General features: G+C 47.1%; 1 protein-coding gene and 1 long non-coding RNA gene across 11 annotated transcripts in view, besides 6 other annotated features; one reads left to right on the forward strand and one right to left on the reverse strand.

The window, feature by feature from the left end:
- TMEM220 (transmembrane protein 220) overlaps window positions 1-4,832 on the reverse strand; it is an 18,891-nt gene extending 14,059 nt beyond the window's left edge. For 4 of the 7 annotated variants that reach the window (NM_001359647.2, NM_001330140.3, NM_001330139.3 and 1 more), the window contains exons 1-2: window positions 4,589-4,832; window positions 1,013-1,073 (exon numbers count right to left, since the gene is read on the reverse strand). In NM_001359647.2, the coding sequence (NP_001346576.1) occupies window positions 1,013-1,073; window positions 4,589-4,660 (133 nt within the window). In that variant the 5' untranslated portion in view covers window positions 4,661-4,832. Of the gene's footprint in view, window positions 1-1,012; window positions 1,074-3,839; window positions 3,870-4,588 lie in introns of all 7 variants that reach the window. The other 3 variants (XM_017024616.2, XM_011523835.3, NM_001004313.3) reach the window with 1 other exon arrangement.
- Window positions 4,284-4,870: an enhancer, noted in NCBI's record as "H3K27ac hESC enhancer chr17:10632792-10633378 (GRCh37/hg19 assembly coordinates)". NCBI's record gives its function as "activates a minimal SCP1, AML or CMV promoter by ChIP-STARR-seq in primed H9 embryonic stem cells {active_cell/tissue: H9 hESC(primed)}" and the evidence as "EXISTENCE:reporter gene assay evidence [ECO:0000049][PMID:30033119]".
- Window positions 4,284-4,890: a biological region, named in NCBI's record as "H3K27ac hESC enhancer GRCh37_chr17:10632792-10633378".
- Window positions 4,471-4,640: a silencer, noted in NCBI's record as "silent region_8202". NCBI's record gives its function as "represses an Ori minimal core promoter by ATAC-STARR-seq in GM12878 lymphoblastoid cells {active_cell/tissue: GM12878}" and the evidence as "EXISTENCE:reporter gene assay evidence [ECO:0000049][PMID:35858748]".
- TMEM220-AS1 (TMEM220 antisense RNA 1) overlaps window positions 4,586-16,041 on the forward strand; it is an 85,388-nt gene continuing 73,932 nt past the window's right edge. For 2 of the 4 annotated variants that reach the window (NR_073458.1, NR_073457.1), the window contains exon 1: window positions 4,586-4,709. This is a non-coding gene — a long non-coding RNA (TMEM220 antisense RNA 1). Of the gene's footprint in view, window positions 4,710-8,647; window positions 8,717-11,410; window positions 11,448-16,041 lie in introns of all 4 variants that reach the window. The other 2 variants (NR_073455.1, NR_073456.1) reach the window with 2 other exon arrangements.
- Window positions 4,651-4,890: a silencer, noted in NCBI's record as "silent region_8203". NCBI's record gives its function as "represses an Ori minimal core promoter by ATAC-STARR-seq in GM12878 lymphoblastoid cells {active_cell/tissue: GM12878}" and the evidence as "EXISTENCE:reporter gene assay evidence [ECO:0000049][PMID:35858748]".
- Window positions 4,871-5,457: an enhancer, noted in NCBI's record as "H3K27ac hESC enhancer chr17:10633379-10633965 (GRCh37/hg19 assembly coordinates)". NCBI's record gives its function as "activates a minimal SCP1, AML or CMV promoter by ChIP-STARR-seq in primed H9 embryonic stem cells {active_cell/tissue: H9 hESC(primed)}" and the evidence as "EXISTENCE:reporter gene assay evidence [ECO:0000049][PMID:30033119]".
- Window positions 8,854-9,039: a silencer, noted in NCBI's record as "fragment chr17:10637362-10637547 (GRCh37/hg19 assembly coordinates)". NCBI's record gives its function as "represses an EF-1alpha promoter that drives an FKBP-Casp9 reporter gene in an ReSE screen in K562 erythroleukemia cells {active_cell/tissue: K562}" and the evidence as "EXISTENCE:reporter gene assay evidence [ECO:0000049][PMID:32094911]".

Below are 16,041 nucleotides of genomic sequence, written 5' to 3' on the forward strand. Positions count from 1 at the left end.
AATGATCTTTTTGTATGTTTTGCCATAGTCTGCTTTCAGAAAAGACATTCAGACTCCCTCAGCCCCATCGCCCCTTTTTGTTTTAGGACAACACAGAGGTCACAGCACTAATTATAAACTTCAGTGGCCATTTCTTGTTTGGGTTGTTCAGCAGCTCCCCTTCCTAGGATGATTACCCTTATTTTCTCTGGGGATCCACCATGTCCACACTCACAGTCCATGTTTCCCAGTGAACTGGACTTTGGCTAGGTCAATCAATACATGTTATCTCCTCAGCCACAGTGATTTGGATCAGCACAAACGGACAAGCAATCAGAGCCAGCAACTGCATTCTGAGACTTTGGTAGAGTGAAGAAACACAGTCCATATTCCACTGGACGTGGCATCGTGAAGATGTGAATGGGGGGCTGCAGGGCCACTGTGTGGAGCCCAAGAGTGAAGTTAGCATGACAGATGGTGGAACTGAGAGGTGGAGAGAAGGTAAAGTTCCGAGTCCACCAGTCTGAAGCCAGCACCACCCTTCACCTTTTCAGTAAACTGTACCAATACCTTTTCTTCTCAGCTCATAGCACATTTGAGTTATTTTCTAGCTTGTATCTAAAGGAGCCCTAACTGATCTACCTTAAAGATGCAGACGGAGTTCTAGCTGCCTATACAAGGAGCCCAGGCATCTAGGGAACTAGAATTTTCCCCACTAAGGTGGGACTCATTAGTCTTTATTCTAAGGCCCCTGAGAACATTCGAGCCCCACTAGGAGAAACTGTTTTAAAGAAAGTGAAGAAGAATCTGTCCTCTCACTTCTATAAAACAGAAGACGCTGTTTTATAGCAGATCCTTCTGACGTTTTCCTGAAGATGGGTAAGGATGATTAGAATTAGCCCCTTTTATTATCAGAAATGAGAAGAAAGGCCTAGAGAGCCCCGTTTTACTCCTGGGAGTTGGGCAGATAGACCCTCATTATTATGAGGAAATCTGATTTGCTGTCTCTCCATTTAGAATGCAAGGCTTATACCTGTGACTTCAGGGTTAAGTCCAACAAGCAGGGTCAGTACTGCAGGGATTGTGTACACCACCTGTTAGCAAAAAGGGAGGAAATTACATGAGTTAAGATGTATGCCCAATATATGAGATGTTCAGAGATACAGGAAGTAAAGAAAGATGAGATCAGTGGCTGCTGTGCCCCATGATTTGCCTCTAAGTTTCAATGGTGATTGAGAAAGTGGTAGATTCTCCTTTTGTGGCACTTAGCACGTCTGCCTGCAATTTTATCTACCTTCCTCCTAGACTATAGGCTATTCCAGAAGCTCATTTATCTTTGAGCTCTAACACTGAGCACAGGGTTTTGGTCTTAAGACACACTAACTTTCCAGTCGCTCCCAAGCAACTTTCATGCCCAAATGGCCTTTCCCCACTTGCATAAAAGAAAATGTTCTTTGAAAAGTAGGGCAGGAGCAGCCACGATGCTAGATGGCCCTGCTGGCTTTGGACCCAATGGACCATCCAGGCCAGTACTGCATCTCTGTGAGACCACAGAAAGTTTTCTAATAATGCATACACAATCAGCTGTGCCCAGTAATAAGGTCAGGCTCTTCATTTTGGAACTGCTGATAAGTGTTTGGAAATGAGAAGACTAGCCCTAAAGAGGCCCTATTCCTAAGCCTTGTTCATAACAAGCAGGCTCTAGCCAAACTTACTATTGTGTGTGTTGTTGGCAGGGAATAAGTAGGGAGGGTGGGTTTATAAGAAGGATGGGGACTTTCCAAACAATGTAGCTGTCTAATCACATCAATTTCTGTGCTTATATCAGAAGATGTTAAGGCAGGTGCCAGGGGTCCATGTGGGAGGTAGTGGAGGGCTGAACTGTGAATGAGGGAGGATGTCTATGGGGACATGGGGTCTATTCCTCCTATTATATCGTCTGAGCATGAATGAAAGGTAAAATGTGCAGGTACTATAGAGATAAGCAATTAGACCTCGATTGTTTAATTAATTTTTTGGAGATGGGGGGGGTCTCGCTATGTTGCACAGGCTGGCCTCGAACTCCTGGGCTCAAGTGAGCCTCCTGCCTCAGCCTCTTGAGTAACTGGGACTACGGATGCCTGCCACCATGCCCGACTCAAATTTATTTTGTGTTTTGAGGGGCTCTCCAAGGCAGTGGTAAGGAACAGAGAGATGATAAAGATGACTGAGATTCTGAACAAGAATGACTCAGAGAATGATTCTGCTGATAACAGAAATGGGTGAGTCAGGATAAGTAGATTTTGGAGGGAAAGATGCTAGGTAGGTCCTTGGGCATATCTGAGGAGCAGTGTGACATGCAGGTGAATATACGCAGCAGTCTTTTGGAAATTCACCATTAAGCTGGATGTCTGAGACTTGTCTGCAGGGAAATAATATTTGGAATTCAAGATACGGACCAGGGTGCCAAGGCAAAGGCAGTTTGATTTGATTCAGAGGCATACTGATCTGGATAGTAAATATCAGAATGTGGTTTTACTGCACTAAAAAAACAAAACCTGGATAGAATTTCATGTTATAATTCCAGATACCATCATCCTTGTTGCTCCTCTGTCAATATTATTCTAAAGCTTAAGAGTCATCTCCTTGGTGTACTGTACAGTCTTGTGTATCTATATTGAGAGAAACTGGGCAAAATTCAGATATTTTGGAAGATAAAAGATATTTAGAGCCGGGCGCGGTGACTCATGTCTGTAATCCCAGCACTTTGGGAGGCTGAGGCAGGTGGATCACCTGAGGTCGAGAGTTCAAGACCAGCTTGACCAACATGGAGAAACCCTGTCTCTACTAAAAATACAAAATTAGCTGGGTGTGGTGGCGCATGCCTGTAATCCCAGTTACTTGGGACACTGAGGCAGAAGAATCACTCAAACCTGGGAGGTAGAGGTTGCGGTGAGCCTAGATTGCGCCATTGCACTCCAGCCTGGGCAACAAGAGCAAAACTCCGTCTCAAAAAGAAAAAAAAAAAAAGATATTTAGAAGATGTATGGAACAATGGCCCCCTCCTCCAAATGGTTCAAATCAGAGCCTTGCTTATATGAAGACTGTAGGTTTTACAGGATTTAATACTTTTCTTTGCTTTTTTTTTTTCTTTTTTTTCTTTGCTTTTTTTTTTTTGAGATGGAGTCTCACTCTGTCGCCCAGACTGGAGTGCAGTGGCACGATCTCAGCACACTGCAACTTCTGCCTCCTGGGTTCCAGCGAGTCTCCTGCTTCAGCTTCCCTAGTAGCTGGGGACTACAGGCGCATGCCACCACGCCTGGCTAATTTTTGTATTTTTTGGTGGAGACGGGGTTTCACCATGTTGCTCAGGCTGATCTAGAACTCCTGACCTCAAGTGATCCACCCGCCTTGGCCTCCCAGAGTGCTGAGATTGCAGGCGTGAGCCACCTTGCCCAGCCAGGAGTTAATACTTTCTAGAAATATAAGTCACTGAATTAGCAGAACCTCAGAACTTAAGCCTGTTATTTTCCGGTCAAAGGTTTGCATTGAGTGTCTGGCTAGAAACTCATAAGGAATTGTTCAACTGATCTTGAGAGGCCTACTCTAGGTCCTCAAGAAAGTCCTCAGTTGGGCCATCTAACCAAAGGGAATACTGCAGAAAGACCTGTTTCCAGAAAGTTCGAAATTCACACACACATTACATTAGAACTCTGATCCTGCCTATTAATATTTTAGGAAAAAGCGCTTCCCAAGGGTTTGATTTTTAAGTTTCTCAGAAAATTAAGCAGGGAGGAGGGGTAAAGACATAAAACCGTGTGTTTTGTGCCGTTCCCCAATTCTTCCAAACGGAGGAAAGCCTGGAAGCGGCTCATACTCACCACCCACACCTCTGCATCTGGGTCATTTACCTGGAACGCCAGAATACCAAGGTGTTAGCAGACATCCTGTGCTGTTCCATTCCTTTTAAATTCATTTAAGCACATTTTTTATTAATTTGTTAAGTGCCAGACACTGCAATAGGCATCGAGGGTACAAAATCTGAACAGGATATAGTCCAGATGAGGACGGGTGAAGGGGTTTCTGGCTGACACAACAGATGTTTTTAACAGGCAGCCACACATTTTTGAAAAGCCTTCACGGGAGCTCTGGAGAGGACTCGCCAACCCAGAACGGGTATTTTAAGGGCCCTCCACCCCCACCAGTCTCAAGAAATGAGGGAAATGATTATGAAGGGGGTCCCCAAGCCGACTAAAAAGTTTAATGATGCTATAAAGGGTTTTGGTCGGCTTCGTCTCCTAGGCCCTGAGATATGTTCAGTGTCGTCCGCGGGCCGGACGTTAACGCAGGAGCCAGGGCCGCTTCTTCTGAGGTCCCCTGGGAAGTTCCACGCGCGGAACCAGCCCCTTCCAGGGTGTGAGCCCTGGTATGGGACTCGCTTCCATGAACACATCCGCGTCTCTTAGACGGGGGAGAAAGTGGGGGCTCCCCAAGCAGAAAGCCCAAGTCCCGTCCTCCCCACTAACTGTGCGCCCCTGCGACTCTGCCCGCTAGTCAGTTACACGGCCCGCTAGGCCAGGGGGCGGAGCTGGGAGCCGGGCGGGTCCCCCTCCCACCGCGGCCGCCTGACCTGCACCAAGGCCGCCAGCGCGAAGAAGGCGGCCATGAGTCCGTTGCAGGCCCGCCACAGCGCTGGCGCCATGGCTCGGAGAACACGGCGCGGGGCGGTGAGTCCTGCCACGTGCGGGGCGGTGAGTCCTGCCACGTACGGTCCGCCTTCCTCCTTGCGCGGAGGGACCGAGACCCCCGCCTCGGTTTCGGTGCCTTGGGGACACTGCCGTGGCCGTCGCTCCGCCCGGGGGCGGGGAGCGAAGGGCGTGGGTGTAGCCCCCACTCAGCGACCCATTCAGCCCGCCCCGAACGCCGCGGGGTGTAGGCGGCGCCGTCCTGGTTTCGCGGATGGGAAAGCGAGTCCCTCAGGGAGCGCAGGTCTCGGTGGTGGACGGAAGTCGAATTTGAACCCGTATAGGTTCAACTCCAAACCCTGTTTTCACTAAAGCTACCTTCCTCACAAAAAAAAAAAAAAAGAAGAAAGAAAAAAAAGAAGGAAAAAAGGAAGGAAGGCAGGCGGGAGGGGAGAGAGGAAGAAAGAGAAAGAAAGAAAAAGAAAGAAGGAAAGAAAGGGCTGGGCGCAGTGGCTCACGCCTGTAATCCCAGCACTGTGGGAGGCCGAGGTGGGCGGATCACCTGAGGTCAGGAGTTCGAAAGCAGCCTGGCCAACATGGTGAAACCCCGTATCTCTACTAAAAATACGAAAAAATTAGTCGGGCGTGGTGGCGGGAGCCTGTAATCCCAGCTACTCAGGAGGCTGAGGCAGGAGAATTGCTTGAACCCGGGCGGCGGAGGTTGCAGTGAGCCCAGATTGTGCCACTGCACTCCAGCCTGGGCAACAAAGCGAGACTCCTCAAAAAAAAAAGGATAAAAATTGTTTTTACAAAAATAAGAAAGAGAAAGAAAAAGAGATGTGTGTGTGTGTGTGTGTGTGTGTGTGTGTGTGTGTGTGTGTGTTCTGTTTAGTATTTATGCATTTCCTTCCAAAGCTCAGGAACTTTCAAATCCCTGTAAGCATTATGGTAATTTCTAGAGTGACGACAGTTATATTAACATCTTATACGGCTCACAGCTTTTCGGCAGACAGGCTCATTTATCTTCATGGGCTTTTATTATAAAAGATATTTACATATTATACATATTTACAATTCTCTCCCACCACCAAAACCAACAAAATTTCCAAAATTGCTCATGAATTTCTTATGAACCGAAGACACTGAAATATTCACTGTTCTCCCCTAGTCTGTCTGGTCTTTTTCTGTTTTGTAATTCGCCCTTCTGCTTAGTTCCTCCCCGGGCTCATTTACACATCCATAGGCCTCATTTCTGCTGTTCTAAAGAGTCTTTATCGCTTCAAATCAGGAGCTTCTGTGCCTGTCCTCTTTTCCTTTGAGCTAAATCTCCTAAAACTGTCTAGTTTTTTTTTTCTTTCCCTCTCAGTTTCATTCTTTTCACGAAACACTTATTTCAAGAACGTTGTCTGCTCTGTGCCTGGTGCTGGGACCGTGAAGGTCCCGTGCCGGGACTAGGCAGGGAGCCTGGCGGCTGGCGGGGGTGGGCACCCGTGTTTGCAGAGGTGGGGTGGGGACAGCGGGGACCAGCACTGGGTGGAGTTCCACAGCTAAATCAGCCCTGGGATTGGAAACAAGCGAAGACTATTCTCACTGTGCTTTTCCTTACATAAAAGAAAAAAATGAGAGCGAGAGTGCTAGGGGCTGACTTGCATTCCCCCTGCACCCCCAATTCATATGCTGAAGCCCTAACCCCCAGTGCCTCAAAATGGGACTGCATTTGCAGACAGGGACTTGACAGAGATGATTAAGTTAAAATGAGGTTATAGGGTGGACCCTAATCCAATATGACTAGTGTCCTGATACGAAGAGGGGACAGTTACAGAGGGAAGACCACATGGGCACACAGGGAGAAGACGGCCGTCTGCAAGCCAAGGGGAGAGGCCTCATGAGAAACCAACCCTACCAACATCCTGAATTTGGACTTCCAGCCTCCAGAACTGTGAGAAAATAAATTTCCGTTGTTTAAGCCACCTAGACTGTGGTACTTTGTTGGGACAGTCCTAGCAAATTAATACAGGGAATGATTATAATACCCACAAGGAAACAATGGCATGGAAGTGCTTTTAAGCTCTTGAATGCCATACAACCACCATGAAGTTTTATAGTTTTCACTGTTGTCTGGGACTTTCTTTTTTTATTTCTATTTTTTTGAGACAAAGTCTTGCTCTGTTGCCCAGGCTGGAGTGCAGTGGCACGATCTCAGCTCACTGCAACCTCTGCCTCCTGGGTTCAAGTGATTCTCCTGCCTCAGCCTCCAGAGTAGCTGGGACTACAGGCGCCCACCACCATGCTGGGCTAATTTTTGTATTTTTTTTAGTAGAGATGGAGTTTCACCATATTGGCCAGGCTGGTCTCGAATTCCTGACCTCATGATCTGCCTGCCTCGGCCTCCCACAGTGCTGGGATTACAGGCATGAGCCACTGCACCCGGCTGGGACTTTCAAAGTCACCTTAGTGAGCGTCTGTTGGTTTTGCCTTTGCAGGGTTCAGTCCCCTTTCTTCGAGGATCAGTGTCTTTAGTACTGTGGATTACCACATGCACTATGGGTGGATGTGGACTACAGGGTTGACCGTGCTCCCCTCCTTTTGGGGATAGGCAGGTGACTTTGGCCTGCCAGCTGACATATCCCATTCTGTTGACCACTGTGATTGGGTCTAGGATGGGTATAGGATCCAAATTGCCCAGATTCAATCCTAGGACCTATATGGGACTTAGGTTGTCAGTAAAGGACAACCTCAGTTGAACTGAATTTTGGATCATCAATGATGTGTTCCAAATATTTGCTAAATCTGGCAATCCTACTCACACTATTAAAGAGAAGCTTTCTTTGTGATGAATGTGTAGAGCTGGTAGAATGTGAGCCTGGAGCTGTCAGGAGAAAGCCTCACAGGGAGAAAGGCTTTCTGCAGGTGAAGTTTAAAAGCCTGGATCCAGCCATGCCTGAAAATGGAAGAATCTCACAACCAACAGAGTCTCTTCTTTACATAAGCCCGTGTGAATTGGGTTTTTGTAATTTGCAACAAAGAATGATGACTTGTAAAGTCATGATTCAATAGTTAAGGCAATGTGTGAAATCCTTGCAAACCTCCTGCTATAGGTTTGTCCAGGCTTTGCAGAGACACGGAAGAGAAGGCTTAGTCTGAAAAGTAATGAAAAATACGTTTAAATGAATCCAATATCTCAGACAGCTCTGCTTGAAGAGTAATTTCATTTCCCTTTTTAGCAAAAGGCTATGATACAATACTGCAGAGAAGATGAGGTTTTAAAGGCAGTAGGGTCTTGTCAAAGCTGGCTTCCCTCTGCAGAAAGGGCAGCACAAAGGACCCTTCATCCTGCTGGACACTCCCTGGCTGCCCAGTCAGTGACAGCATCATAAAAGCAATTGAGCCACAGGAGTGAGGTGAGCTGGACTCACTTCCCCGCTGGAATCCGAGAATGGCTGGACATCTGCCCTCTGAGAACTTGGAAATAGAGGTGCTTGCTTATTCCCTGAGAGTAGGGTTGTTAATCCAATGCTAAGAGTTGGAGCAGAGACAGGAAGCTCATATAAAGACACAAATGGCCTCCCAGGGTCACAGGATTGAGAGAGAGAAAATGAATGCATGAAAGTACGTAAAAGAAGAATGTCAGCAAAGGAGGATTGATGGGCTTGGAGGCTTCAAGTTAGGTCATCTGAAAGGCAAGCGTAGACCAAGTCCATCCTCACACAGACTGGAGAGAGTGCTTTGCTCCACCAGATGTGGACACTCACATTTCTTGGTCGGGCCAACCTCTTTGGGGCTTATGTGGGTTGAAAATTTCACAGGCTCAACCCTCCCCTTGCTGTGATTCCAGAAGGCCAATTTTGGAGACTTTGGCTTCCCACCTAGCTGGCCTACAGAGTGGAGAACATGTGGCTCTCTGAGCCAGGTGCATTTCAAAGTGTGTATCAATGGAATGCCCATGCCATTCTCTTTTATAGACTTGTTTTCCTTTTAGTAGTCTCCATTATCTGTCCTTCCAGGTGTGGTCAGCTACTCCGGAATGTGGCAGGGGTGGAGGCCGGACAAAGTCTGAAACAGGGTCATCACCAGTGAGTGGCTCCTGCCTGTGCTCTATGTCCAGAGTGTGTGTGTGCTGGTGATGCTCCCAAGGTGACATATTGGGAACAAGGATTACAAGGATCAGAAACTGCTGCCCATGCCGTCTACCTCCCTCTGTCCAGCACACCAGATCAGCAAAGGCCAAGCCATGCTGTCTCCAGGCTCTGCTGATTCCATGTGAATGAAGTGTTGGGGCAGGAAAGGGTTGGAACAGAACAGTGGAGGAATTCTACTAGGAGCAGTGGACGAATTCTACTAGGAGCTAGACAGCCTTCTGCTAAAATATTTGAAATCAGAAAAGCACCTCGCCACGGCAAGGATTGATTTGCTTCTACAAAACCCATCTAGTCTCTATGAAGGACTTGGGTTTCTACTGTTAGCAAAATATAGCCCGTGTTATGAAAGTCTTAAAGCTTACGCATATTGATGGACAATGAAAAACACTTGGCTTGAATAATGTTCCTCAAATATCCCCTTATGCCACTGAAAGGAGAATATGGTTAAATGAACCCTCTGCGTGTATTTATATCCACCCTATTCATTGGCATGAAACACTCAGTGAGCCATTTATTCTATCCATTTATTCTGTCCATTTATTCAAGACTTCCTACGTGTCAGGCACTATGCTAATAACTGAGGATGTGACTGTGACCTCACGGGACACGGTGTTTGCCCTTGTAGAGCTTACAGGCCAAACAATAATTACACGAATAGGTAGGGGTTCCAGCCAACAATGGTGGTGATGCTGAGAAGGAGAAGTGAGGCTGCTATGGGAATGTGTGAAACCAGAGAATCTGACCTCTTCCCAGGGGTTCCAGAAACCTCCTGAGGAGGTGATTTTCAGGTGTGCCCTGAAAGATGAATGGGTGAGGACAGGTGAAGACTTTATGGACCAGTGCTTAAAGCCGAGAGAGAAGTGCTTATGAGAAGACCAAATCCTGAAGGTCTTCAGGGCCTGGCAAAGAATGAGAGTACAAGTAGACATAGATGAGGCTAGCACAATGCAGGTAAAGAGTTTGGTTTTATCCTGGCTGGGTGTGGTGGCTCACGCTTGTAATCCCAGCACTTTGGGAGGCCGAGGCAGATGGATCATCTGAGGTCAGGAGTTCAAGACCAGCCTGACCAACATGGTGAAACCCCATCTCTACTAAAAATACAAAATTAGCCAGGCACAGTGGCGCATGCCTATAGTCCCAGCTACTCAGGAGGCTGAGGCAGGAGAATCACCTGAACCCAAGAGGCGGAGGTTGCAGTGAGCCGAGATCACGCCATTGCACTCCAGCCTGGGCAACAGAGTGAAACTCCATCTCAAAAAAAAAAAAAAAAGTTTGGTTTTATCCCAAGTGTGCTGAAGAGCCCCTGGAGCACTGAGTGGGGAGAGCATGATGGGAGGTGTGCTTGGGCTGCCCCGTGGAGGAGGATGCACTGGGGAGAGCCCAGAGAAGAAGCAGAGACTGGCCATGAGGTGCTTGCAGTAGGCCAGGAGAGAGATGATGCTGGCCAGGGCTAACAGGGTAGCAGTGGCCATGGAGGGAAAGAAGCACGAATGAGTGACATTGGGGAGATAAAGTCAATCAGACTGTATGCAGGGAATAAAAAAATGCCTCCACTCCTTATGACAAAGTTAAGTTTTCAAGGCTGGGTGTGGTGGCTCACACCTGTAATCCCAGTACTTTGGGTGGTCAAAGTGAGAGGATCACTTGAGCCCAGGAGTTCAAGACATCCTGGGCAACAGAGCAAGACTCCATCTCTACAAAAAAATTTTAAAAAATTAGCTGGGTATGGTGGCATGTGCCTGTGGTCATAGCTTCTTGGGAGGCTGAGGCGGGAGGATTGCTTGAGTCCAGGAGCTCGAGGATGCAGTGAGCTGTGATTTGCACCACTGCATTCCAGCCTGGGTGACAGAGCAAGACCCCATTGAAAAAAAAAAAGGACTTTCAAAATCATACATGGCAGATTACACAATAAATAAAAATAATTGATAGAAAGTACTTAAAAAAACAAGTTTTTGATTCTGCATGGCTGAGAACAGACTGCAGAAGGTAGGTGAGCTCTTCAAGGGAATGGCAAAGCACTTCCCAGTGTTGCCTTTGCTCCGTCCAGAATCGCTGAGTGTCAGCCTGTGCTAGCACCTACCTGGCCTCAATTAGAGTCGCCTGATCTCCTTAGGTGGGACTGTGGATGCTCTTCTCCTTATACTTTCACTTTTTTTTTCCCTTTATGGAAATTCTTAGTTTTTTTTGGGTGTGTGGGTTTTTTTGTTTTTTTTTTTTTGAGACAGAGTTTCGCTCTTGCTGTCCAGCCTGGAATGCAATGGCAGGATCTTGGCTCACTGCAACCTCCACCTCCTGGGTTCAAGCGATTCTCCTGCCTCAGCCTCCCGAGAAGCTGGGATTACAGGCATGCGCCACCACACCCAGCTAATTTTTTTGTATTTTTAATAGAGATGGGGTTTCTCCATGTTGGTCAAGCTGGTCTTGAACTCCTAACCTTAGGTGATCCGCCCACCTCGGCCTCCCAAAGTGCTGGGATTACAGGCGTGAGCCACCGCACTTGGCTGGAAATTCTTAGTTTTAATCTCGCAATAATTGTTCTGTGTGTATGTGTGTTGTTCATGCTCCTAGACTATGCCACAAATTTCAGAAGGTAAGGACTATAACCTGTTAATTTTTTCTTCTCTCCAGTAGCACCTGACATACCTGGATATAAACAATATCCAAGGTGAGTGGGGATACAATGAAATGTTGTAGGAATATTGGGTTTGGTGGTGGGGGATGTAATAGGTAGCGTCTTGAATTTACTGAGTTAGGCAGTATTCTAATCACTTCATATATATTAACTCGTCTTGTGCCCACAACAGATCTATTAGGTAGATAGTACTATCATCCCCATTTTATGGATAGAGAAACAAAGGCATACACTAGCTTTTAAGTACCCTGGTTAAGCAATAAGTGAGTCAGAAATTAGACTTCTTCAAGCTCATGGTGAGGCCTTCTGCAGGTTTATGAAGGGAGTGAGTGAAGTGGGCTCTCTCTCCCATGAGAGTGGAGCATTTAACTCAACAGCTACCCTGTTTCCATGAACTGGAGAGGGTGGAAGGGGTCATCTGTAGACCAGGGGCTCAATTCTCCAAAGGCTGAAGGGGTGATGTTTGAGGTCCTCCTTTGATGCCATTCTTCTTATGTCTTAGCTATTTTAAAGACCAGGAAGATTCTCCACTCATGCCCTTGACTTTTAGAGCCAATTAGATGAAGCTGTATTTGGAGGTAGGAAGAGAAGTTGAGTGACTTTGAAGCCATCTTCTCTCTGATCTTGACTTTCTGATTTTGGCCTGGGCTGTTGGAATTGTATGTGTCCACAAGATGGCGGACTTCTGCTGGGAATGGAGTCGTGCGGGCATGGAACGAAGGAGGGGAGGAGGGAAGAGTGGGCTGTGCCTCCCCTTGGCTCTCCCAGGAAGCCTGTGATGTAGACTTCTGGGTGGGTACGAGGTTGGCATCAGCTGGAGGTGAAGAAGTGCAAACAGAGCTTTACACTTGATCTTAACCAATAGGCGGAGAAGTGATTCAAATAGAACTTTGTACCAGGAAATATTCATCCCCAAACAAGGGTGTTGCAAGAAAAGAGCTAAGCTTTGCTGTGGTGCTGGCAGAGCTTGAAACTGCCACCCCAGTACTCCAGGAAATTCAGATATGCTTGAGAGGAGCAATCACTTCTAATGTAGGCGTACTCTAAAAGTAAATGATGATAACAACTATGAATTGATGAGTATTTACTGTAAGCCCAGCTACGGCCCTTTCACCTCCTGATATCTGAAAGCCACCACAATTTCTGAATTTTTACGTGTAAACTCATACCCACCCTCCTATCCCACAAGACCTGAGCCCCTCCGGTTTCCCTCTCTCACCCATTCAAGTGCTCCTTGTTATCAGTTGCTTAGGGCTGCCTTAGCAAATTATCACCAGCTTGCCTTAAAAGTAGGGGAATTTATTCTTTCACAGTTCTGTAGGCCAGGTACCCAAAGTCAAAGTGTCAGCAGGACTGCACTCCCTCTGAGGGCTCTGGGGTAAAGTCCTTTCTTGCTTTGACAGCTTCCAGTGGCTCCTTGTGGCCACATGACTCCAATCTCTTCACGTTACCTTCTCTGTGTCTGTCCTTCTGCTCTTCTTTTATAAGGCAATGTATCATCAGATTCAGGACCCACTTGGACAATGCAGGATGTCTCATCTTGAGATCCTCAATGTAATGTTTGCAAAGACCCTTTTGCCAAATAAGGTCCCATTCACAGGTCCCAGGGGTTAGGATGTAGACATCTCTTTATGGGAGCCACCATGATCATTGTAGAAACCTGGAAGTTATTCCTGACACCTCATCTTTCCTCCTCTCTCAGTCCACCACTGATTCTGGTGAACTTTTCTGCTCAGTAGTCCCCCATTTTTATTGCTGACACCTGGTCCCAGCGATCAGCATTTCCCCTCTTTGAACACATTAACCTCCTAACTGGCTTCCCACCCTGTTATGGACTGACTTGTGCTCCCCCTGCACTCCCTAGTTCATAAGTTGAGTATTTGGAGATAGGGCCTTTAAGGAGATAATGAAGGCCAATGAGGGAGTAAGGGTCGGGCCCTAATCCCACAGGGCTGGTATCCTTACAGGAAGAGGAAGAGGCTCCAGAGCTGGCTCTCTCCTGGCCCACACAGAGGAAAGGCCATGTGAGGACACAGGGAGAAGAGGGCATTTATAAGCCGGGAAGAGAGGCCTCACCGGCCACCAACCCTGATGGAACCTTGATCTTGGACTTACAGCCAGCAGAGCTATGAGGAAATCAATGTTTAAGCATCATCCTAGTCTGTAGTGCTCTGGCAGCCTGAGCAGAAGAATACTTACTCTGTGCTCCGTCCCACCCAGTCTCCACACTGCAGCCAGTGACTGTATGAGACACAAATCTCCAATTTCTGCTTAAGACCCTCCCTCCCTCCCTCCCTCTCCTCCCTCCCTCCCTTCCTCCCTTCCTCTCCTCCCTCCCTCCCTTCCTCTCCTCCCTCCCTTCCTCTCCTCCCTCCCTCCTTCCCTCCTTCCCTCCCTTCCTCTTCTCTCTTCCACTCTCCTTCCCTTCCTCTCCTCCTTCCCTTCCTCTCCTCCTTCCCTTCCTCTCCTCCTTCCCTCCCTTCCTCTCTCCGTTCCTCTGTCCCTCCCTTTTTCTCCTCCTTCCCTCCCTTCCTTTCCTCCCTCCCTCCCTTCCTCTCCTCTCCTCTCTTCCTCCCCACTCCCTTCCTCCCTTCCTCTCTCCTCCCCTCACCTCCCTTCCCTTCCCTTCCCCTTCCTTCCTTCCTTCCTTCCTTCCTTCCTTCCTTCCTTCCTCCCTCCCTTCCTTCCTCCCTCCCTCCCTCGCTTCCTCCCACAGATGGATCCAAGGCACTCATCTAAGCACTAAGGATATAGCAGTGAACGAAACAGACAACTCCCACCTGATGTTCTTGTGTGAAGCTTACCTTCCAGCACCCCTCACTGCCTATGGCTCTGGGGTTAAAAACCAACATTTGAACCTGGTCTGCAAAGCCCTGCGTACTCAGAGCACTGCCCAGCCTGGTCAGCCTCCACTTGTTCCAGCTCACCTTCCTTCTTCACCACTTCACGTGCACACACACACACACACACACACACCCCTGGCCCTGTGGTTACACAGCCTCTTCAGTCCTTCCAAAGGGCAGTGCTTCTGCCCTCCAGAGAGCTTTCAGACACTGCATTTCCTTCTGTCGGGAAGGGTCCCGCTTTGCCTACTTTGTCCTCTTTCCACTCTTAGCCTCCTTACGTAAGCCTGTCACAGGCTCTTAGCAGCTGTCACATCTCCCTTGCAGCACTGACCACAATGGCCATTAAATAATTAACTGTACAATTAGTTGTTTAGTGTCTGTGTAGCCCACAGAACAACAGGCCCATGAGAACAATCTCTCTCTCTGCTTTTGGTTCCTGCTACCTTCCCAGGCTTAGCGGGTTGAACTCGGTGGGTTCTTATTAACTATTGCTACAGGAAAGAGCCAAGGAATAAATGAATTATTTAAATCCTAATAAGCCCCTCCTATCCTTTAGATATTTTTGTTCCCAGTTTATAGATGTAAAAGTAAGGTGCAGGTGCAGGGTGGTTAGGTAACTGGCCCAAGGTCACCCACTTAGTAACAGTGGAGACTGAAGTAGAAATCCAGAGCTTTCTGATTTCAAAGATCAGGCTCTAAACAGCCACGACTCAAGCCCAGTTTGCTTTAAATGATGATGAGAGAATTCTTAACAGAAAGTCAGAAGCATCCTAACTAGAAATTCATGAAAGAATAATTTTATTTTATTAAAAGAATTATTGCAATCAACAAGAGAATGGATAAACAAACTGTGATATAATTACATAATGGAATACCACTAGCAAAAAAGAGAAACAGACTACTAACATGCTGTCGCATCCATGAATTGCAAAAACATGCTGAACCAAAGAAGCCAGACACAGAAGACTACATGCTGTGTGACTCTATGTGAAATTCCAGAAGAGGCAAAAACCATGGATGTGAGAGCCATTAGGTCAGTAGTTGCCTTTGGGGTGAGACAAGGAGTGTCTGGGAAAGAGAATAAGGGAATTTTCTGGGGTGATGATAATGTTCTGTATCTTGATGGAGATTTCAGTAACCTATTTGTGTATGTATTTGTCCAAAGTCAGCATCCATACTCATGAGATATGTTAATTTCTCTCTTTGCAAATTATATCTGGAAAACCAAACAAACTCTTAAACCAATATTGAACTGTAGTTTGTGACATGCATGCTGAAGTGTTTGGGGTGACGCGTACTGACGTCTGTAGCTTGCTTAGAAAATAAGATGGATGCTGGTGGACAGAGGGAGGAATGCATGGACAGACGCGGGGTAAAGCGAGGAGAGTAAAATGGTACATGTAGAGTCTAGTGGGGGGGGGGTGTGGGTGTTCACTGCTCAAAACTTTCCAACTTTACTGTATGTTTGAAAATTTTCATTATAAAATGTCAAAAAAAAGTTCATGACCAGCCTGGCCAACGTGGTGAAATCCCGTCTCTACTAAACATACAAAAATTAGTTGGGCGTGGTGGCAGGTGCCTGTAATCCCAGCTACTTGGGAGGCTGAAGCAGGAGAATCGCTTGAATCTGGCGGGCAGAGGTTGCAGTGAGCCGACATGAAGCCACTGTACTCCAGCCTGGGTGACAGAGTGAGACTTCATCTCAAAAAAAAAAAAAATCAGTCAAAAAAAAATACAGTAAGCTGAAAAAATGCATTTCAAAAGCAGCTAATGTTTATGGT

Source organism: Homo sapiens, chromosome 17 (assembly GCF_000001405.40).
Source record: "Homo sapiens chromosome 17, GRCh38.p14 Primary Assembly".
Lineage (NCBI taxonomy): Eukaryota > Metazoa > Chordata > Mammalia > Primates > Hominidae > Homo > Homo sapiens.